The sequence below is a fragment of the Homo sapiens genome, chromosome 4 (assembly GCF_000001405.40).
Source record: "Homo sapiens chromosome 4, GRCh38.p14 Primary Assembly".
Taxonomy (NCBI): Eukaryota; Metazoa; Chordata; class Mammalia; order Primates; family Hominidae; genus Homo; species Homo sapiens.
Genome location: NC_000004.12, coordinates 132,584,791 through 132,608,545, shown reverse-complemented (window position 1 = coordinate 132,608,545; position 23,755 = coordinate 132,584,791). Strand labels below are relative to the sequence as shown.

Here is a 23,755-nt window from a genome sequence, read left to right as displayed (position 1 = left end):
TTCACCATATTGGCCAGGCTGGTCTTGAACTACTGACCTCAGGTGATCCACTTGCTTTGGCCTCCCAAAGTGCTAGGATTACAGGTGTGAGCCACCATGCCTGGCCATAAAGTAATTTTTTCTACATGTATTCCACCTTAGCATTTGCTTATTGAAAGATGCCAACCAAAACAAGTGGTACTAGAAGTGGTCTGAGAAAAGAAGTGGCAAGATGAAGGTTTGGTATAGGCTGATTCACTAGCTGACAAGGGCAGAGGACATCATCCTGGTGGGTAGGTGGGGCAGAATGTTATGGCCGTCTTCACACAGGTGATAGTTCACTTGGTAAGAACTTTACCAACCACAAGCAGGGAAAATGTTCTGGTGTTGAGAAAAACATGATGATACAAGTATTTGGAAAGTATGGTGGGTACAATGGCTACAATGTCAGTAGAGTTGGCTGGTTATTTTCAAGTTGTTATTGATATACAGATTTATGAAAAGTCAACGACTGTTATCAAGGGGAAACTCGAAAGGCCTCTGTGATAACTTACAGAAAACCTTTTGTCTCTTGAAGTAGAAGGCAGTTACGGCTGAACATCAGTGAGCTGACAAGCTAATTGTTAGTGTTACAGAGCTCCATAAGTGGTGAATTGCTCAGACAAGATAAGTCAGGCCCTAGTTGGAAACACTTGAGAACCTGAAACACGGAAGAGGGACATCTATATAGATGCTATTGAGGATATTGCCCTGTAATGACAATAGAAAAGACAGATCTCCCCAATGGGCAGAACTGCAATAAGTGAGCCTGGACATCCACTTGGTGAGTAAGAAGTGACCCGAGGTAATCATACATTTAGATGCCTGGGCATTACACAAGACTTGGCTGTCTGTTCATGGACTTGGAAACAAAACAAAACAAAACTGGATGATTAGAGACAAGGTATTCAGGAATAGAGTCATGGGAATGGACATATGGAAGGATGTATGAAGTGTGAAGATTTTTGTACTACGCTTGAAAAATTGAGAACTCATGACTAAATAATGAATTAATTTAAAGTGTATTAATTCATTATTTGGTTATAAGTTCTCAACTTTTTAAGAACAAATCAAATGGTAGAGGCATTGACTAATGAAGTAAACAGGTGGCTCCCTTCCTTCCCCCATTTTCTCTAAAGACATTTTCCCTAAAACAATTCTTGCACATTTAATCCTATCTTGGTCTGCTTCTCTAAGGACTTAGGCCAATAGAGTAGGCAGAAAAATGTCCACCCTTCCACCCAAGGTATCTACTGCTTAATGTTTGGAACCTGTGACTGTTATGTTACATGAAAACAGGTTTTTTGCTGATGTGATTTAGTTAAGCATCTTGAGATAGGGAGATTATCCTGAATTTTTAAGGTGGGTTCTACACGCAATCTCATGTACCTCTATAAGAGGAAGACAAAGGGAGACTTAAACACAGACTGAAGAGAAGGCACTGTGACCACAGAGACAGTGATTGCAGTGATGCCACTACATGGCAGGAATGCTCACAGTTATCAAAGCTGGAAGAGGCAGTGAACTTATTCTTGCTTAGAACATCTAGAGGAGTAGAGCCCAGAGAACACTTTGAATTTGGTCTACTGATACTGATTTCATACTTATGGCCCCCAGAACTGTGACAAAATAAAGTTTTGTTGGTTTGAGCCACTAAATTTATGGTAGTTTGATACAGAATTCATAGGAAGTTAATATAGCCAACAGAAAAAATAAATAAGTTAAAGAAAGAAAATCACAGCACATCCCAATTCAGGCAAAAAAAGAAAACAAACATGAAAAACATCAGCATATAGTCATGATAAAATAAAAAGCTCACAAATACGAGGGAATAAAATGAATTTCTAAATTACATTAAAGACACCAGTAGATAACGTTGACCTTTAATAAGGTCAATATAAATATCAAATTATCATTCTATATGCTTGCAATAAACAAGTAGGGAGTTTTTGAAAACTAACAATACTGAAAAAGAAAGAATGAAAGCCACTGCCCTGAGATCAACTCACTTCCAATCAGTTTGCGAGCTTGGAAGAAAAGTTATGAAACACTTCTGGGTAAGGGCAGGTGATCTTGTCTAATTTCCTCGTAAATATGATGATCAATGCATGCTAACAAGGAGACTAATATTTGTTAGAAGCATGGTCCATATTTATGGTATCTTCTTGTAAGGATGCTCTTGGCCAAGGATTGTTTATTGAAAATAAGCCCAAAAATTGGATTTATGAGATGAAAGTCTCCAGAAATGCCATGTGTATTTGTTTCCTATTATTATGGTAACAAATTACCATAAACTCAGTTGCTTAAAATAACACAAATTTATTACTTTACAAGTCTGGAATGGGTCTCACTAGAATAAAATCAAGGTGTTATCAGGCTGTATTACTTTTTGAGGCTCTAGCACAGTATCTGTTTCCTGCTTGTTAGTTTCCTTGCAGAAGTTAGTTTTTACAGGTATAGAACTGAGGTCTCATCTTACAGTGGGTTGTAAAATTAAGGTTGTTTTTAGCTTCTAAAACCTGCTTCATTTCTGGGCTGGTGTCTCCCTTCTTTCATTTGTAAAGCCAGCAATTGAATAGAGTCTTTCTTGTTTTGCACCTCTCTGACCCACTCTTTTGCCACATAAATTATATTTGGTCCACAATGGTAAATCAGGATCATCTCCCCTTCTCGAGGTTCTTAACCTTAACCACATCTGAAAAGCCTCTTTTCCTGTGTAAGGAATCTATGTTCATAGGTTCTGGGGATTAAGACAGAAACATCATTGAGGGAGAGGCATATAATTCTTCCTAACATATTGGTTTATACAATGAAGCTATTTAATTAAATAAATTGTACCCTTTGTATGAAGCATCAATTTGCATACCTCACTTAGAGACCTTTTTGTCTTCAGACCGGAAAGCACATGACTGATTCAGATAAGAAAAACTCTGGAGCCAGCATTTGTTTCCCAAATCTTGCCTACCTTCGTACACGCCTCTTAACTGTTTGTCTTTGAAATTATTATAAAGCTTTGTCTTGGATAAGACCTCTAATTTGTCAGAGTCTGATTTCTCAATTTCATTATTTTTGTTAGTTGAGATCCCAGAGAGCAGAATTGCCTTTGAGACCCACCTATCACAATGACTAATATGTGTTTTGGTCAGAAAAAGAAAAGCATGAAAAAATATAAGAATTTGAAGCCAGATTGAGTGCCTACACATCCTTGGGAAAAAGTGACAAAATCTTAAATAAATTGTCAGAGACAACTCTTGCAAATTGAATTTGGAGGAAATAGCCTACAAAATGTAGTATATATAAGTATTCATTTTTTGCATATGATTGTAATGTTTTTATATGTTCATATTTAAAAATCCAAGGAACACATAATACTAAAAATGATCAAAAATTTTAAAAATTATATCAAATCCCATCATTCTGTAATCATACTTTTATTTAACACATTTGCAGAGTTAGAAAGGTAGGTAAGTGGTAGGTAGAAAGAAATTACCTAGAACAAAGCTGGATAAAACTATGCATCTTTTTAAAAGCATACTTAATGTAATAATATTATTATAATTGTTTCATGTAATAGGAAAAAAATAGATCAAACAAAAGGAATAACTAATCTTCAGAAGAATGTATCCCAGTTGTAAGAAATGTTTGTTCCTATAATATTCCTTAGGTATGTCTTGATACTCTATTGCAAGAATAAACATATTATTGCATAATTAATCAATGGATACGGTGACCACTACTATCAGTTTCAATTCAACATCTCTATTCCTGAGTTATTCTACTCTATTAAATACATTGTTTGGTAATGAGTTCCCCATTTTTTAAGAACAAATCATGGGATAATATAGTCATTCCTTATTGATTGTTTTAGCGCATATGATATTTTTGAACAATAAGCTAAGGAAGAAAAAATTATCCTCTAACTAGTAATTGCTAAATCTACTACTTTGAGCATCTTTTTTTCCTCTCTTTTTTTTATCGTTTCAGAAAAACACTTCCAAATTACGTTTCTTTCGAAGTTAACTTATTCATAAGATTTTATATGCAAATCTAATTAGTCATTTCCGCAACAATTCCTGTGACATTATAATTTAATTTTTTACTATGTCATCAGATTAAATTAACTTTAAATTTGGTATTTACATATGCAGTTTAAAAGCTTATATGTTTCTGTAATCAGTACTCTTAAGTCTGATGTTTCATTAATGATTATTCTCTGCCACTTTTCTCAATTATATTATGTCCCAATAAAATAAAATCTTAATACGGCCACCTTTCATATCTAAACTTTGCACTATAGCAAATTTGGAGGAAATGAATAACTACATAATACTATGGTTTCAAATTTTCAAATTAAAATGTAGAAAAAGATTACTTCATTGTATTTATTACAAGTAAATACTATATAGTAGCACCAACCACTTTGAAAAATAAGACTAGCTAAAAGGTTAACTTTGAGTATCAGATTTGGAGAGGAAGATATTTAACTTTTTATCATGACATGAAAAGTATTACATAGCGTACACTTTTATTTATAAATTTTATCTCAAATAGTTAATAGAGTAGATTTTTTAAAGTGTCAAATGTTTTCAGGTTTAAACATATAGAAGAACATGGTAAAACCTTGAAAAAAAGTGTTGCAAATATTTATTGATCTGGCAGTTAGAAATTGGAGACACATAGAAAAGAAATTTGTATCATTTATTGGAAAGAATAAAATGCCATCCAAAATGACTTAAGATTTTCATTAATAATTTAAATTGTTTTAAAAGTATTTTAATCTAGATAAAATGTTATTTCTCTCAGTAACATAGTGATTGAAAATTCTTTATAATATATGTAAACTGTTGAAATAATTTTCAAATATTTTGAAGTTAACATCTACATTTTACATTGGAATTTTCAGGGTGTAAACATCCCTTATATTTTTCTACTTGCGTATGCCTATTACATAATTCTCATTTAAACTTTGTATTCTTTTGCTGAAAATAAAATGTGTGGATTTGATATTCTTTGATATGGAACAAAACAAATTTAAAGAAAACACTTTAACACAATTGTCTAAATGAAGAAGATACCACCAAAAATCTTAAGCCTTGATAAATTGTTTCTCTGAATATTAACATAATGATTGCAGAAATCTTGGTATTCAAATATTATATGCAAATATATTTTTATTATAAAATATTATTAAAATATTGAATGTATTATTTCTATTTTATATAAAAGTAGCTCTGCTTCTTTTACTAAAGATTTAATAAGTGGGTCAGGCATGGTGGCTTTACGTCTGTAATCCCAGCACTTTGGGAGGCTGAGGCAAGTGGATCATGAGGTCAAGAGATGGAGACCATTCTGGCCAACATGGTGAAACCCTGTCTCTACTAAAAATGCAAAAATTAGCTGGGAGTGGTGGCACGTGCCTGTAGTCCCAGCTACTCAGGAGGCTGAGGCAGGAGAATTGCTTGAACGTGGGAGGTGGAGATTGCAGTGAGCCGAGTTTGCGCCACTGCACTTCAGTCTGGTGACAGAGTGAGACAATGTCTCAAAAAAAAAAAAAAAATCTAATAAGTGATTTCATAAAAAGATATATTTTTTTCTAACCCGTGATAATTTTCCAACAAGATCATAATCATTTGAAGCATTCTTATTTGGGCCTTAGAAGTATAGCCAATTATATCTATTTAAAATACTATGTTCATTTTCTGGTGTGGCATGTAAGGAGCTTGGACGTCATCACTCTCATCCTCACAATAATTAAAACAGTGAACAAACTGAAAATCAACAACTCGTCTTAGATGCATTAGAGAGTTTAGGTCAGAGGGCTAACCACTTCCCTCCATGTTGACGAGACAGGCTAATAAAGGGAAAACTAGCTTACTGGATCATAAATTTAGGAGTAAAAAAGCCTATTGCTGAAGGTACTACTAGGGTAGACAAAATTAAACTGCATCTTAAAATAAAACTTAAAGCAGATTTCAGAGAGAGAAAAATTATAATGAAGAGATATATTACGTAATAAGTGAATCAATTCTCTAAGAAGATACAATTCTTAATGTGTATGCCCCTGACCACAGAGCATCAAAATACATGAGAAAAACAGAACTGTAAAGAGTAATAGATGAATCTGCAATTATCGTTGAAATCTTTAATATACCTCTATCATTAACTGATTATCTATCGGGAAAATCATCAGTAAGGACATAGTTGAGCTGAAGAGCACCATTAATCAACAGGATCTCATTGACATTTGTAGACCACTTCATCCAATAACAGCAAAATATACATTTTTCTCAATCTCACATAGAACATTTACTGAAATACACCACATTATGGACCACAAAACATATGTTAACCAATATAAAAAGTAAGAATTATACCAAGCATGATTTATACTACAAAGAAATTAAATTAGAGGAATGAATAATAGAAAAATAGCTGAAAAATTCCAAAATATTTAGAAATTGACTAACACACTTCTAAACAACATATGGGTCAAAGAAGAAGTCTTAAAATAAACTAAAACATATTTTAAACTAAGTAAAAATGGTAATATAAATTATCAATATTTGTGCAATGCAGCAAAAGCAGTGCTTAGAGGAATATTTATAACATTGTAACATTGAATGTATTATTAGAGAAAAAAATATTTAAAATAAATAATCTAAGTTTCCAACTTATATTATAATGAATAAGGAGTTCACAAACGTTGCATATTCTTCTTGTTTTATTACTGTACTGAAATAATATAAAAATATAATATTAAACTAGAATACCATAACTATAACATATTATATTAGAGCATTATAATATAATATTCCATTTTTTCCTTATATCCCCAGAAAGAGTATTGTTTTGTCCAGACCTTAATTTTGAGAATTCTGTAAAATTATCTTTTTAATGTATCAGTTTATGTACCTCTTTTCCACAAATTTTATAACATTATTTCATGTTTTGGTTTGCTATAGACTGGTGATTTTAATTATATTTAATTATTTCAATAATAATTTTTATTGCCTCTAAAAAAGTTTGCATATTTAAACTTGACTTTTATCTTATCCTCAGCTCCTCTTAAAAAATCACAAAAAGTATTTCAGAAAGCATTTTAATTGACTGTCATTTGTTAAATATTGTTAAAATTTTTGAAATTATTAGAAAACACATATTTTTCATAACTAAAGATAAGGTACCTACTTACATCTACATACCCCAATATTTCTAATTAAAATAATACAGAATAAGAAGAAAAACACTACGTTAAAACTATACCATAAGCATCTATTGAAGACATACACCGAGAAGTGTAAAACAACTGTAATTTCTTAAAAATTAAAATACCAACTTTTCAATTAAAATTGGCATACAATCAAAAGATGTCACATAAGTTGGTATATTTCAAAATGCAATTAAAATTTCAAAATTAAATATTGTAAGTATTTGTGTACACTTAATTTGTTCATATCCTCCCATACTTTCTATTTGTTTGTTTTAATAAACTTAATCATTAGAGCAGTTTTAAGTTCACAGCAAAATTGTTGGGAAATTACAGAGAATTCTCATGTACCCCCTGTCCCCACTATGTACAACTACCCCACTATCCATGTCCCACACAAGAGTGGAACATTTATTACAACTGACGAACCTACATTGTTACACCATTCTTACCCAAAGTCCATGGTTTACATTGGTGTTCACTTTTGGTACCGTGTATTCTATGGGTCTTGACAAATGTATAATGGCATGCATTAACCATTGTGGTATCTACCCATGGGAATATTATAGCAGAATAATTTCACTGCCCTAAAAATCTTCTGTGCTATGCCTATTCATCCCTCACACCTCCCAACCCCTAGCAACCACTAATCTTTTTGTTATCTCCATAGTTTTGCTTTCTTCAATAAGTAATTTAGTTGGAAATACATAGTATGTAGCCTTTTCAGATTTACATCTTTCATTTAATTATATGTATTTAAGTTTCCTCCATGTCCTTTTATGGTTTGATAACTCGTTTCTTTTTAGTGCTGAATAATATTCCATTGCTTGGATGTACTGCAGTTTATGTATCCATTCACCTATTGAAGGACATCTTTGTTGATTTAAAATTTTGTCAGTTGTGAATAGGGCTGCTGTAAACATTTGCGTGCAGGTTTTTGTGATGACATAATTTTCACCTCTTTTGGGTAAATACTAACAAGAGTGATTTTGGCATCATATGATATCCTATGCTTTTTGGAATATAAATCTCAACATCTCCATGTTTTGGGTGAGAAGCACAGGACAGCCAAAGACAGACTTGGGAGCTGCCTACAAACATGACACTAGTTCCTCAACACCTGCGGCAGTGGCTCTCCACCCTTGCAGAAAAAGTATTAATAGCTGCACTTTGTCAGCCACATGACCCTACAAGGTTGGGGTCCCCAGCACAGCTCTGGCCTCCTGGAGCAGGAAAGGTCCAGCCACCATTCCTTAGCTGACTCTGCTGGGACAGATGGAGGTTGGGGTGCTGTTATCTGAGGATTTATGGGTGCTGCTTTTAAGGTCCGCTGCCCGCCCGAACTCCAACTACTGCCTCCGCAATTAGCCCAGGAGTTGAACATGTAACCCAGCTCAGGACTTTTCCCAGAATGTTGTAATCATGGCCTTTCCTCTGTCCCAAGTTGTAGGGGTCTGAGTCTGGAGGCTGGGACCCCAGACCCTGTGCTTTAAGGGAGGAGGATGACTCATCAAAGAGGAAGAAAAGGAAAGGCAGTCATCTTCAATGTCATCTCCATACCAGCGCATCTGGTCCTTTGGATCTATGTGTCAATAAAGACATCTTTTGTGCTTGAAAAAAATGAATTATTTTCTTGAATTCTAACTCAAAATCTATAAAAGGTAAAATTATTGGTGTTCTATGAAGTAATTTATTGATAATTTTCCATTGCTCCTGAAGAAGTAAATATATATATATATTTCTGCTTCCATAATTCTTAATTTATATGAACATTATTAAAATTATGGTGTTATCTTCCAGAAACTTTGTATTTTTGTTTTTATTAAAATAGCAAATACTGTGAAGCAAAACCTATGTATTTTACTTTTTAACTAAGTTTACCAAAAGCATCTCTATTTTCACTTTCAACTGAATGGACTTTGAAAAGCTTTGCTTTTTTCCCAAAGATTAGGTAAAAAACTCAAACTCTAATTTAAGAGTTGAACCTCAGTGTCTTTCTGTTTGAAGCATCTGTTGATATAAAATTAACTATATATAAATTAACTTTAATTAACTGGTAAGTTCTGCTGTTAATTGAATTAAAACTGTAAAACCCTGTGTCACATTTCCTTCATGCATAAGGAAATTTGCAATTGAAAATTTTTAAAAGTAATTTAGAGTAACAGCTATTTGATCAATGAAAACTGAAGTTCAAAGAGTTCTATATAAATGCACTTTCTGCAGCTGCATTGATTAATGTATCATCTTTGGAAACATTTAAATAGCTAAAACATCTACTTACTCTTCAAGTAGATGTGGATATTTCTTTGGAAATTTTTTGCTTTCTGATTGTCATGTGATCACTGATATCAAATGTCCTCCATGTTTGTTGCCATAAAAACTCAACAAATATTCTGGCATGGTGTATGCTCAACAATTTATTACTTTTTTTTTCCTTTAAATATCAGCTTCATTTATTTACACTCATTCCCACTAAAAGAGTTATAAAAAGAAAAAGTCACACAATAAAATCAGTTATTGCAGATTTTCACTATTTGGTAAAACCAACCACAACAAAATATATGATCTGGAGTAGGATTCCACAGTCTCTATTTTTTTTAGATTTTCTTAGAGTCAACGTATAGGTTCCCACCTTTCCTACTGAATCCCAATTAATTGACTACCTTGAATCTCCGCTTACATTTCAGGCCATAGCACTGCCAAAGCATGGTTAGCTGGTACACCAGGTGACTGGCATAGGCTGCAGCATTATCCCACCACCATCAGATATCTAAAGAAGTTGTTGGATGCAATACCTACTCCCCTTCATAGACCTCAGCATACTAGCCTTGTAAGGGAAGTGTTAGTCACACTGACTTAGAAAAGGACAGACTGAATAAGAAAATTAATACTTTTCATATTAAAATGTCTTCAAGTGAAACTTCTATTCACTTCATATACATTTTACACATTACAAGACTCCGCAAAAATGAAAGATGCCAGAATTACAAACTATAGGCCAACAAAATCATCCCTGGTTTGTTTTACTGCATGAAATTAATATTGATACTCCGCTGCATATTTTAAAATGTGCTACAAATTGTAAATGAGGCTGGATATAAGTATACCAATTGTAAACCAGAACAATACTAGGCAAATCAGGTAATACAATCACCTTCGATGGGCTTGTGTATACGTGTGCTTTTGTCCAATTCAAGACTGTTCAAATTGCCTGTACCACACAGATTGGACAAGCCACTCACTCTAAGTCCTCTACAGCAGTGATTCTCTACTTAACGCAATTCTGCCCTGTAGGCAACAATTGTCAATATCCAGAGACTTGATTCTCAGCACTAGGGGATTGTTACTGGCATCAAGTGGGTAGACACCAAGTTTGCTTCTAAATTTCATGCAATAAACAGGATAGTTCCCCAAAACAAAGTATAATCTTGTCCAATATGTCAATAGTGCTGAGACTGAGAAACTTCACTTCAAATAGATAACAACAGCCTTCTGTATCTAATTTTTCGATTCAAAACGGAACCTAAAATTTTTGAAATTTTGAACTTTCAGAAAATAAAATCACTTCCCCAAACAATGTTCACTATAAAATATAGATATAAGAAAATCACAGAAATATTGAATAATATTTATATTATTATTATTGTATTTCAACTCTAGTTTCCCACGCATCTAGGTCTCTCTTAGTGAGAATTGGTCCATCTAAAATTTCAAAAAGTTAAAAAAATAAATTTGTTTAAAGCATTTGGACTTTGTAAGTATATAATGAAGATAAAGAAAACAGCCTAGGACAGATAGTAAGATGTTATAAATTTAAAATACCTTTCGAAGAACTCGCTTTTAAAAATTACCTCATTAATCCTCACACTATGCCTACAGGGTAGGCGATAATAATTATTGCATCTGTTTTACAGATGAGCAAACTTGGTCACACAGAGGTTAATTACTTACACAAGTTTAATTTGAGAGTCGGTTATAGGACTAGGAATGATATGCCAATCTTATAACTCCATATTACAAAACTATAGATTTTTACTCTATAACAGGTCTAGTCTTAATACTGTATTTTTTTCATTATCACATTAGTAATTAAACTTGACTGTGTATCCTAGAACTAATATGATACCCTAATTTAGTATTTTACTTACTGATCAATTAAATGTATTTTATTGAATGGGAATTAGATACAGAGTATTTTAGAAAGTGCTATTAGAATGATCTTTAGATTAATGATTAGAGGAAGGATCTTGCAGCTCAGGATGGAGTTCTTCTCCAAATTCACCTTGCCTTCTTCAAAGGAAAAGTCTTCATATTCACCAAGGTAGTCCTACATGTAATTTTCATAGATTCAAATCTCTGAAAAGGTTAATGGATGGAATTTATTTTCCTGTTTCTGCATAAGCATAGATATTTGATATATAGTTCTGATTTTTATAATATTTATTATTAATAAATTTCATCTCTTTATAAGTGGAAGTTTAAATAGGAAAATATTGTCTGTCCAATATTGAACACATGGAAGTAATCTATACTTAGGACAATATCTCACACTGAAGAAGTGTATAATACATGCTAATTATTATTGTTATGATTACTACTCCCTAGACCAGGAATCGGATGAAAATTTATTGAGTTAAATTCTGGCTACTAAATTTGCAGCCTCCTCCTGCCACCATCAAAGTGGAATAACTACCCAAGTTATTTCCAGTTGCTTTTGACCCTGATGATCAGATTTTCATTAGCATATTCACAGGAATATTAAACTCATCTTGATCCTTTACTTCCAAAACTGTGTTTACAGAAAGTAAAATTTAAATTATCCAATTAAACTATAAAATCAAAATTAATCTACTTTTTCATAGATTTCTGATTTTAAAATAAAGCTAAATGAAGCAAAAGCAACTTTTACCACTTCTTTTATTTATTTATTTATTTATTTATTTATTTATTTATTTATTTATTTTTGAGACAGGTTCTAACTCTGCCACTCAGGCTGGAGAGTAGTGGAATGATCATCACTCACTACAGGCTTGACCTCCCTTGTTCAAGTGATCCTCCCACCTCAGCCTCCCAAGTATCTGGGACCAGAAGTGTGTGCCATCGTGTTTGGCTAATTTTTGTTTTTTAAATATTTTTGTATAGATTGGATCTCACTATATTGCCCAGGTTGGTCTCAAACTCCTGGCCTCAAGTGATCTGCCTACCTCTGCCTCCCAAAGATCTGGGATTACAGGTGTGAGTCTGTAATTACCACTTCTTTTAAATGATTGACTTAGACATACAGCTTATGTCCTGTTACTATTTCCAAGTAAACCAATCTATCAAAGAAGGCAGAATAGTATATTGGTTACATTTTTAGGTCTTAGAGAAGACTAAAATAACCAACTAAGTATCACAGTAGCTTTTTGACCTCGGACAGTATTTTAACCTATCCTTTTTTATCTGTAAAACAGGGATTATGACAACAATATTAATCATCTCACAGAGTTGTTGTGAGAATTAATTGATTAATCTATCATAATAAACTTAAAATTATGCTTAGCATGAAGTAAACAATCAAGAAATATGAACTAATATAATTTTAGAAAAATGATATTTTCTAATACAAAATACCAGTTTAATTAGTTAAAGTGTCTTACTGTTTCTTCCCCTCCATTGGCATCTTTATGCCATGCAGAGCAGACTTGTTTAAAAGAAAATTAATATTATGGCTATATTGTTTTAGTTTGTTCAATATAATTAGGGAAGAATATTCAATAAAAGGAAGACTGTAATAAGAAACTAGATAGGGTGTCAATAAATTATTCCAGGTGTGAAAAATAAGAAATTAAGATGAGATAATAAAATATTAGTAGCTTAAAAATAGCTTCCAGAGGCAAAGTTCCAGAATGCAAGTATTGCCTCTTTTGGTTTGATCCCTAAAGGTGAAAGCAAATGCCTCCTTGGGACTCAATCTGGAGGGATAATTTCTTTCCTCTCAAATGTGTGGGGTTTTTTTGTGGTTGGAAAAAAACAATATGATAGAAGGTTTTGATAGTAAAGACAGCTTCCTGCTATTTTTATAGAACCATTACTTTTTCTGCTCATTGCTTTGCTAATATGTTTGCAATAACAAATTCCCCAAGAAGTCAGTGTTTGAAACAGCATTTTAATTTAGGCACTTCCCTTGCAAACTATTATGAATACATGTGGCTCACTCAGATTTAACTGTTTAATGAATTCCCCCAAAATGTTAAAGATGCAAACATAAAAAATTTAAAAATAAATAAGTACATGTTCTGCTCCAGTTTGGATGTGAAAATTTGCAAGAGGTTGTGTTCACATTAAAAAACTAACAATCTAAGTATGCCATAAAATTATAGTTTCCTTTAAAATGATGACAAGTTTGAGGACTCAAAGAAACCTAGGTGGAATAAATTCCAGAAAATGAAAAGCTCTTCATATGAGCTTTCATGGGGGAACTTCTACCTATGGTGGAACTACGGGTAGAAGACACAAGGCCTCTGTGACAAAGGAAGATGAAAGCAGCTGAACTTTTCAGAAAAATTCAATATCTGTTCTTGGGCTGGTGTGACAGATTAAAATTCCAAAGAGCCTCAGGCACAAAGTGAATCCAAAGCTCCACTTACCTGCCACATGTTTTCATAGGTGTTTATTAAATGTTCAGTGGTAATACACCAAAAGCTGAGAATGGAGGAGAGTTGAGGTGGTCACTCTGTGTTGAAGAGACTCCATCCATCAAGTGTGTAAACTAAAAATAAAATCTGAGTCACCTCCCTCCCACTGACTGAATGGACCATCTTGTCGGCAATGGAACCCCAGTAAAACCTTAAAACTGAGTTCTTGGCTATGACAGGACGGGAGGTCAGAAACACCTCATTATACACACCCCCCCTACCTTTATGGTTTAGATACAGTTGATCAGCACTAATGTTAAAAAAGAGATCATAAGACTGACAGAACAGACTCTTCGTGGCAACATCAAATTATAAACAGGACCTAAGTCCATGCCAGGCAAGGGTTAAGTCCTGCACCCCTCCACTTAAAGAATGACTATGTTCTACCATCATGTTTTTCTTTTTCTCTAGCAGCTAAACAAGCACTGGCCTGGAGATGAGCAATATTAAAACAATTACATCCAGCTCACAGACGCTAACCGAATCCCTGTTCTACTGGCCATAACTACAGCTTTCATTGGACAAGACACTGATTTCAGTTACTTTCTTCTGATAAAAAGACCACCACCGACCATGGCTCTGGCCTGTTTAGAGAGACTGTGCACTTGTGGGCCTTTGTGTCCTGAAAATACCTTTTGATGTATAGGTCCTGAATGTAATACATTTAAATGTTAAGTCTCCACCCCAAAGTGAACATGAGTCATACATTACATGCTTGTTTGTTCAATACACAAGCATCATGACCACCTTCATGAATAATCCTAGACCTTCCTGTAACCTGTTGAATATTTATGTTTGGCCAATCTGTTTAGCATAAAGCTTCTACCCCAACACCTCCTCCTTCAAAGTGCCTGTCTCTGGTCTCTGCTGGAGGCTGTGCTTCTCCACCTGTGAGATAGCCAACTTGCAGGATATAACCCTTTATAAGAAATAAAGTCTCCTCTTCTTTTCCAAATTGATAAATTGTGGGGCTTTACTTTGTTTAAGTTAACAAGTGCAATGTACCTATTAGAATGAATCTGGACAGAGCAGGAGAGCTGAGAAAAATCAAGAAGAGAAACTCTAGGTTGTCAGGGAAAAAAATTATTGAGGGTGAGGCAACAGTGCTGAAAGAAGGCATTCTAGGAGTTCACAGGCCCCTCTTCTCCCACATTCAAGGGATCCGAAGAGATTTCAAACAGGTGGATTTTCAAACATTAATGAGGCTACGCTGTGACTCCAAAGCCTGGCAAATATTCTGAGGTGTACGAAGAAATCTCCCACCATTCTGCAGACAGATAGTTTGGCTAAGTTCAAGCAGATAGCATCAGTGCTCAGCTTCCCAGGCTGGTAAAGGGAACGTTTTGATTTTACCATAGAAATGTCCAAAGCTAGAGAAAAGACCCCTGTTTTTGTTTAGGATGTAAAAACCTGCAAAGAATTTTGTTCTCAACCTAATAATGTATAAAGCAAAACCAGATAAAATATACAATTATACATTTGCTCGATTCCCTACATTAGAGAACTAGAATTGTAAGGCAATTATCATGGAGCTGGAGTTATACTGTTATCGTGAAAGAAGTTCAATTATCCTAAGAAAGGTCCTCAACTGTTTCCTTCCTTCCTTCCTTCCTTCTTCCTCCCTTCCCTTCCCTTCCCTTCCCTTCCCTTCCCTTCCCTTCCTCTCCCCTCCCCTTCCCTCCCCTTCCCCTCCCCTTCCCTCCCCTTCCCCTCCCCTTCCCTTCCCTTTCTCTTTCTCTTTCTTTCTTCTTACTTGGTCCTTTTATTCTTTGCATCAAAAATTGTTCCTACTTGCAGATCCAGAAACCTCATGCTTGGAGAACTGTATCTACAAAAGCAAGCATGATAAATAGCAATCCCAAATTAGTGGTTCCAGACATGCAGTGCTGACACCTAGGGCTCAGGGTAGAAAAGTAAAGGGGCACTGAGTCGCATGACGGCTCTCAGACGTGTTTCAGTTACTGTTAGGTTAGGAGGACAGATGGGGCTGTTTAAAGGTCTCAAAGGTCAAACGTCCTTGTGACAAACGAAGAACTCCTGGCTGCACTGACACATCCGACTGAGGGTGGGAGCTTCTGAGTGGCAGCTGGCCCTCCCCTTATTTCAGTGACCAGTCGTAGCACCTCCTGCTGGCATCCCACGTTATTGCCTATGGCCTGGGCGAGCACGTCTTTGCCACCACCTTTGGGGTCTTTGAAGCCTGACACTTGTTGCATCCCCTCGCTGGTTTTTAAGTTCCAGTTGGCTGCATTTCGGGGTAATTGACACAAGCATGTGATCTCTTCAGGCTCGTTGTCCCCTTGAAGAGCATGGTAAACTTTTGAGGGAAATCAGTCTGGAAAAGCAAGCTTCAAGGTTCCATTCATGTCTTTGGCCGAAGCACCGCTCTCCATCTCCATGATGAGGAGGGACTGGTTGCGATTGCTGCCAATGAGCTGCTTTGCTTCTCCATCCCTCTCGTTTTGGAAGTATGCTTTGCTAGCCCTATCCAGGTCATTCATGATTTCCTTCAGGAATTTGAGTCTCTCGTAATTCCTCCTTCCTCACACTGAGCGATAACTTCGACTTTTTACCATGTGATTTCCAGCATTTGCACCAAGCCTACATTTATTTTTTATTATTTTCCCTGTTAACGCTGAGCTTTGCCCCTCTTCTGCCATCGACCTTGTGCTACCATCTTTTTGTTCTGCTCATTATATGTGAAAGATTTCTCAAAATACAAACTGTATTTGAGCTTCAAGTCATATGAGTGGTATTTTAAGAATATGCCTGTGAATGGTAGGTCAGTTGGGGAGGGAAAAGGAACAAAGATATAAAATTGGGTTTGTTCCAGGACCCGGAACAGTGCTCTAGAGAAAAAGAGGATATAAATATTTTCGAGCAAACTTTTTCAAAAAACTAGCACAGATATCCACTGTTATTTCATTTATAATATAGATTATAGACATTAGAGCAGTTGATAGAATGATTTGATACATATTTTCCATATTCTGTAAATGAATGATTGTTCTATTTTTACATAGCAGAATATTTTAAATTTTAATTTCTACCATCATATACAACTCAATATTTGAAAATGATCTTTTAAGATCTGAGAAACACACATTTTTATTGTTTAATATCATATTTCTAAGTTATGTATGTTATGAAAGCATAGTTTTTGAAGTTACATAAGCTTTTAATTTTTAGTACCTATTTAGCATAAAGAGAAAGACTAATGAACTCCATAGAGCACTTTTGTGTTCAGATTATTTCACGCATACTGTCATTTGATAAAGATGAAGGACATCTGCATGTGTTACTCATTGTGTATCATAATATCTTAAAACCAAGCATGGTAAAACAACGAACTTTTATTATCTCACACGTTTCAGAAGTCTAGTGATCCAGAAGTGGCTCAGCTCTGTGGTTCTGGCTTAGGGTCTCTCAACAACAGTCAAGCTTTCAGCTGGGGTTGCAGTTATTTGAAGACTTCACTAGGGCTGGACGAGCAACTTCCAAGTTGGTTCACTCTCATGGCTTTTGGGAGAACAGGAGGCCTCAGTTTTTCACTGGCTGTTGGCAAGAGACCTTATTTCCTTGCCACACTGTTCTCTCCACATGTTGCCTGAACGTGTTTATGACATCGTGGTTGGCATTCTCCACAGCCAGTGATCCAAGAAAGCAAGCAGAGAGAGACCAATGCCTTTCATGGCCTAGCCATAGAAATGACCTATAAATATTTCTACCATACTCTATTGGTCACACAGATCAAACCTGATACAGAATGGGAGCAAACTACCGGGGTATATACAACAAGAGGCAGGTATCATTGGGAACCATCTTGGACTCTGGCTACACCCTCATAATGCAGCAAATACCATACAAAAGCTATTTTACCTCATTATTCACATGATTCTATTCTCTCAAATATCAAGAAGATAGCCCTGCTTCTTTTCTACAAAATATTTAGATGTTTTTAATTGATGTTTTGACAATTAATTATGTTCTATTATTTTTGTGCACTGTATAATAATTTTATTATAACAAAACTGTTATTATAACAATAGCATTTTACTATTGTATACTGTATAATAATACAGAATCTCATAACTGCCTTTATATTCTGTATACTGTTTATTTCAATGTGACAATATAGTGCCTTGATAATGTATTTTCCTAAAAAACTGTTGATTATGTTTATGCTATCATAAAAGAATTGTATCTGAACTAACATTTTCCAGATTTAAAATAATTGCATATATTTACTAATACATATCATGAATGTATTTCAACATTTTCTTTTACAACCCATGAAAAAACTAAGTTTTCAGTCTAAGAAAACTCCTACAGTGCTAATCCACATTAATTGATATTAATGTATCCATCAATAATGTCAATAATTAAATTGTGTCAAATTTCAAAATTCTAAAATATTTTTAATATTTACGATAACTAAAACTAATAAAATGAGGCCAGCTGCAGTGGCTAATGCCTGTAATCTCAGCACTTTGGGAAGCCGAGTTCAGGCCACGAGTTTGAGACCAGCCTGAGCAATGTGGCAAGACTCTTTCCACCAAAGGAAAAAAAACAGAAAAATAGCTGGGCATGATGGCACACACCAACTATTCTAGTTACTCAGGAGGCTGAGGCAGAAGGATACCTTGAGCCCAGGAGTTTGAGGGTTCCAGTTAGCTGTGATCACACCACTGTACTCCAGCCTAGGTGACAGAGCCAGACTCTGACTCTATAAATAAATAAATAATAAATTCATTACTTATAAAATGAAACAATGTGTTAAATAATAATGGCACCATTTCCTGACAAGAACGAATAATAAATGTCAATGTAATTAAGTTTATAAGTGAGATTTTTACTTAATTACATAACTTAACAAAAAGATCTTAAAGGACACTAAAAATTTTTGTGAAGTCAGATTAAATTTCTACATTTGAAAACAAATATTCTGTAACACATGATAAATAATTGCTTGTATACTATTTGAAGTCCTCCAAATTGACGCAAGACAATAGTAACATTTAAAAACATTTTACCAGGAAAAAACTTTATAAAGTTTTTATGTAGAAGTTTTTTGAAGTTCCTACTAAGTTAAAGAAGAGCTTCTCATTCTCAGGTTTGTCTTACTGATACAACAAGTATTGCTCATTTGTGAAATTGTGTTGACAACTGATTCATAATCAATTTTAAATGCACAGCAAATAGTAAGCTTGAAAAGATAATTTGTGACTTCATAAGTTGAGGGACTATCTGAAGAGTTTGAAACTCATGGTCTTTTTGATTTTTAATCACTGAAGTAGCAAAACAGATACCAAAGATTCTTGGTGTCTTTGAATATGTTGAGTTATCGACAAAGATTTGCTCCCAATTCCGAGCACGGCTTGGATATCCAACCAGTCATTCACATATGTGAAAAGCCAGATATTAGTTACATGCACCTAGAACCTCACACTAATTTATATGTAAACACAAAATATTATCTACATTATTTTAATATAAATATAAATTCAATCACTGTATATGTGGACAGATGACTGTACTCTATTTTGTTGGGAAAGTTATTAAATATTTTTAACTAGCTAAATCACAGATGGAAGCACTATTCATGGTATTTGAATTAACACAAAAATCACCTTTATTGGTCTGGATTTGTAGAGTTTACATGTAGAGTTAATACACACATGAATGCAACCTCCTAACTACTTTATTATATCATTTATGTAGTACAGTCCAGACATTTACACATTGAAATATAATGTATTTCCCTTTTATTTCTCATTATGTTACAATTAGTGCAGCATAATAATTTTAAAAATATGGCTGTAGTTAAATTATAACCTTATGCATTTCATTTCAAGATAATAAAGGAAACACTAAATAGAGCTTTTATAAAATATAGACATTGGGTCTGATAGGATTGAGAAGCAATTTGAAAGTTGTTTTTATACAATATGGCACTAGCACAAGCTCTTTTCTGGGAAACTTTATATAGAGCAAATAAATGCTACTTTATTAACTTTCTGTCCTGTGAAAAAAGAATATATAAATAGAATTAAAACATTATGAACTGTAGCAAATTGCTATATAAAATTTTTTAGGTTTGCCTACAAGTCTGATTTTTAAAAAGCTATACTGGTAAGAATGTATTAAGTACTTCTAGATGAATTATATATCTGTGAGAACTAATTTTGTACCAAAAACATGATGAGACATACCTTTTGGTTAAAGTAATTTAAATATTTACTTAGACCTTTAGTAAGAATAACTTTAATGCAGGCACCAAAAGGGTACTTTTTAAGTAAGAAAGTTTTAAAAAGAAGACATCAACATGGCTACAGAGTCTCCCTGAATTGTGTTAATTTTGGTTTTGGTAACTCGTCGGGAGCAGAGAATTGAAAATTAAGAAGTACTGGAAGTTGAGATTCAAGTTCTTGGAAAGAAAATAACTTTACTCTTATCCCCATTCTTTTACCAAGTGATTCTATTTTTTATATCAATATAAACTGAATTATGATCAGAATAACTTTAGCTCATTAAAGACTAAGCACAAGTTTAGTTACCAGTTTTATGTACCAAATAAAGAGACCAATGTAATAAATAATCAACAAAATACATTTTTGGATGTTATTTTGGCTTTAGAGTTTGGGGGACATGTTTTTCCACACCCACATAAAAGATAAAATACCCATTTTGCCAGAAGCATAATTTTATTTAAAGTTATTTTTCCTTAATAAGTTATCTCTTCCAGAATCCCTTCTGGAAATGGTCTGAGTCACCTTTCAAAACAAAAGTAAGTTAGAGTTACCTAGAAAAGCTGAACTAGTAATTACAGTCTTTTTAAAGTTCATCTGAGTCATGGTGTCTCAGGGGAAAGGAAGTAATTGTTTTGGGCTTAAAAGTCCTTTTCTAACACTTTCTACACTGAAGGTATTCACAAAATTGTTACTCCAATAAACAAATAGAGAAGAACAAGATAGAATAAACAGCAAATCTAATACTGCATAAAGAAGATTCAATCTGAAATATTCATACATCAGATTATCAACATTTAATTGTGTGTCTGTATGGACTTATGTGCAAATAAATATTTCAATATAAATACCACTAGTAAATTTATGTGAATAATAGAGAATTTTCTTTCACTTTTTATGTTCTCTTATAGGCTCAAACATTTTTCTGCTACATCACATTTTCTATACATTTTCAGAAGGCATGCCACTGACTAATTCATAACACCAATATACTACTTATAAAGTACAAGAACACAAATGAAATTTAATAGTTTGGTTACAGAAGTAAACATTAAATATCTTTGAAAAGCTTACTTCAAAATGTAAATTCATTGTAATTATTTTTTCCAATATTCCAAGGGACATTATACCAGACACAGTTTAGAATAATTACTCAAAGGAAGGATGTAGGGGTCAGTTTTGCCTAATAATACTACTTTATGGAGAGTAATCTAATTTTCATAATTTCACATTATCGAATTTGACAACATACAATTAAAGAGTGCTTTATCATATAAAACCATTGTCATGGTGCTTAGAAAACATAAATTTCTCAGATGTTGGCTAAGTTTTTAGTTCCAATTTATGAAAGCCATACTCTCTTTGCTAGTGACTGATCATTAAAGTAGCCTTTATAATCTGAATTACATATGCATTCGAATTATACAGTTTGATAAATTAGGGAAGAAAATAAAAACAGAATATATATTTGGGTTGAGAGATCTCAAGACCCTCAATAGCCACAAAAATTTGCAAGAAGACTCTAAGGAGAACTGTTATAATCATGAGTATAGTATATTACAATGAAAAGATACATAATAAAGTCAACAAATAAAAAAAAGTATGAGAAAAGTCCTACGATTAACCAGATAAAAGCATTCAGGCACTCTATTTCAGCAGAATCACACAGAAGCACTTGTTTTCCCAACAAAAATGTGTGGCAAATTATGTGAAGTATTGCCACAGAAAAGCTCACATGAGCCTTGGTGTCCAGGGCCGTTATTGGAATTCAGTCAGTTATACATACAGCCACCTGTGTAATTGTCATCAATTACTTAGACTACAGCACCCCACAGCAAAACCAGAAGTGCACCATAAGTCTCAAATTAGTATTAACTATCAGATTGTGTTAGTCTCTTTTTACACTGCTATAAAGAACTACCTGATACCAGGTAATTAAAAAAATAGGTTTAATTGACTCACAGTTCTGCATGGTTGAAGTGACCTCAGGATACTTACAATAATGGCAGAAGGTGAAGGAGAAGCAAGACCTATCCTTCACGGTGGCAGAAGAGAGCGGGCGCAAAGGAGAAGTGCCACACTTTTAAATAATCAGATCTCGTGAGAACTCACTCACTATTATGATAATAGCATGGGGAAAATCTGTCTCCTTGATTCAATCACTTCCTACCAGTTCCCTCTCTCAATACATGGGAATTACAATTCAAGAAAAAATTTAGGTAGGAACACAGAAAAAAACCATATTATTCTATTCCTGGCCCTTCCCAAATCTTATGTGCTTCTGACATTGCAACATCAATTATGCCTTCCCAACAGTCCCCCAAAGTCTTAACTCATGGCATCATGAACTCAAAAGTTCAAGTCCAAAGTTTCATCTGAGACAAGGCAAGTCCCTTCTGCTTATGATCCTATAAAATCAAAAACATGTTAGTCACTTCCAAGACACAATGTGGGTACAGGTATTGGGTAAATGCTCCCATTCTGAAAGGGAGAAATGGGCCAAAAGATAGGGGCTACAGGCCCCATGTAACTCCAAAATCCAGCAAGACAGTCATTAAATCTTAAAGCTCCAAAATAATATCCTTTAACTCTATGCCTGACATCCAGGGCACACTGATGTAACAAGTGGATTCCCATCACCTTGGGAAGGTCTGCCCCTGTGGCCCTGCAAGGTACAGTCCTTGCAGCTGTTTTTACAGGCTGGCATTGACTGCCTGTGGCTTTTTCAGGCACAAAGCGCAAGTTGTCAGTGGATCTAGCATTCTGGCCTTCTTCTCACAGCTCCACCAGGCAATGCCCAAGTGGGGACTCTGTGTGGGGGTTCCAACCCCACATTTCCCCTCCACACTGCCCTAGTAGATGTTCTTCATGACGGCCCTATCTCTGCAGAAGAATTCTGCCTGGGCATCCAGGAATTTCCATAAATCCTCTGAAATCTAGGCAGAGGTTCTCAAACCATAATTCTTGCCTTCTGTGTACCCACAGGCCCAACTCCACGTGGAAGCCACCAAGGCTTGGGGCTTGCACCCTCTGTAACCTTGGCAAGAGCGGTGCCTTGGCCCATTCTAGCCCACAGGGCACCATGTCCTGAGGCTCCACAGAACAGCAGGGCCCTGGGCCTGACCCATGAAACAATTTTTCCCTCCTAGGCCTCTGGGCCTGTGATGAGAGGGGCTGCTGAAAGGTCTCTGAAATGCCCTGGAGACATTTTCCCCATTGTCTTTGTTATTAACATTAGGCTTCTCTTTACTTGTGCAAATTTCTGCAGCTGGCTTGAATTCCTCCCTAGAAAATGTATTTTTCTTATCTACCACATGGTCAGGCTGCAAATTTCCTAAACTTTTATGCCTTGCTTTCCTTTTAAACATAAGTTCCAACTTCAGACCATCTTTTTCTCCATGCGTATGAGTGTACACTTTTAGAAAAAGCCAGGTCCCATCTTGAACACTTTGCTGCTTAGAAATTTCTTCCATCAGACACCCTAAATCATCTTGCTCAATTTCAAAGTTCCACCAGTTTCTTTGCTAAAGCATAGCAAGAGTGATCTTTACTACAGTTCCCAATAAGTTTCTCATCTCCATGGGTGGGAATTTTGTTTCATTTTG

The 23,755-nt window shown here is 34.7% G+C and overlaps 1 long non-coding RNA gene and 1 pseudogene across 1 annotated transcript in view; both read right to left on the bottom strand.

Annotated features, from left to right (window-relative positions):
- Positions 1-17,457, bottom strand: part of LINC01256 (long intergenic non-protein coding RNA 1256) — an 87,415-nt gene extending 69,958 nt beyond the window's left edge. Inside the window, exon 1 of the long non-coding RNA NR_126401.1 lies at positions 17,270-17,457. This is a non-coding gene — a long non-coding RNA (long intergenic non-protein coding RNA 1256). The remainder of the gene's footprint in view (positions 1-17,269) is intronic.
- On the bottom strand, positions 16,010-16,462 carry AARS1P1 (alanyl-tRNA synthetase 1 pseudogene 1; annotated as a pseudogene).
- Positions 17,458-23,755: the final 6,298 nt, after the last annotated feature.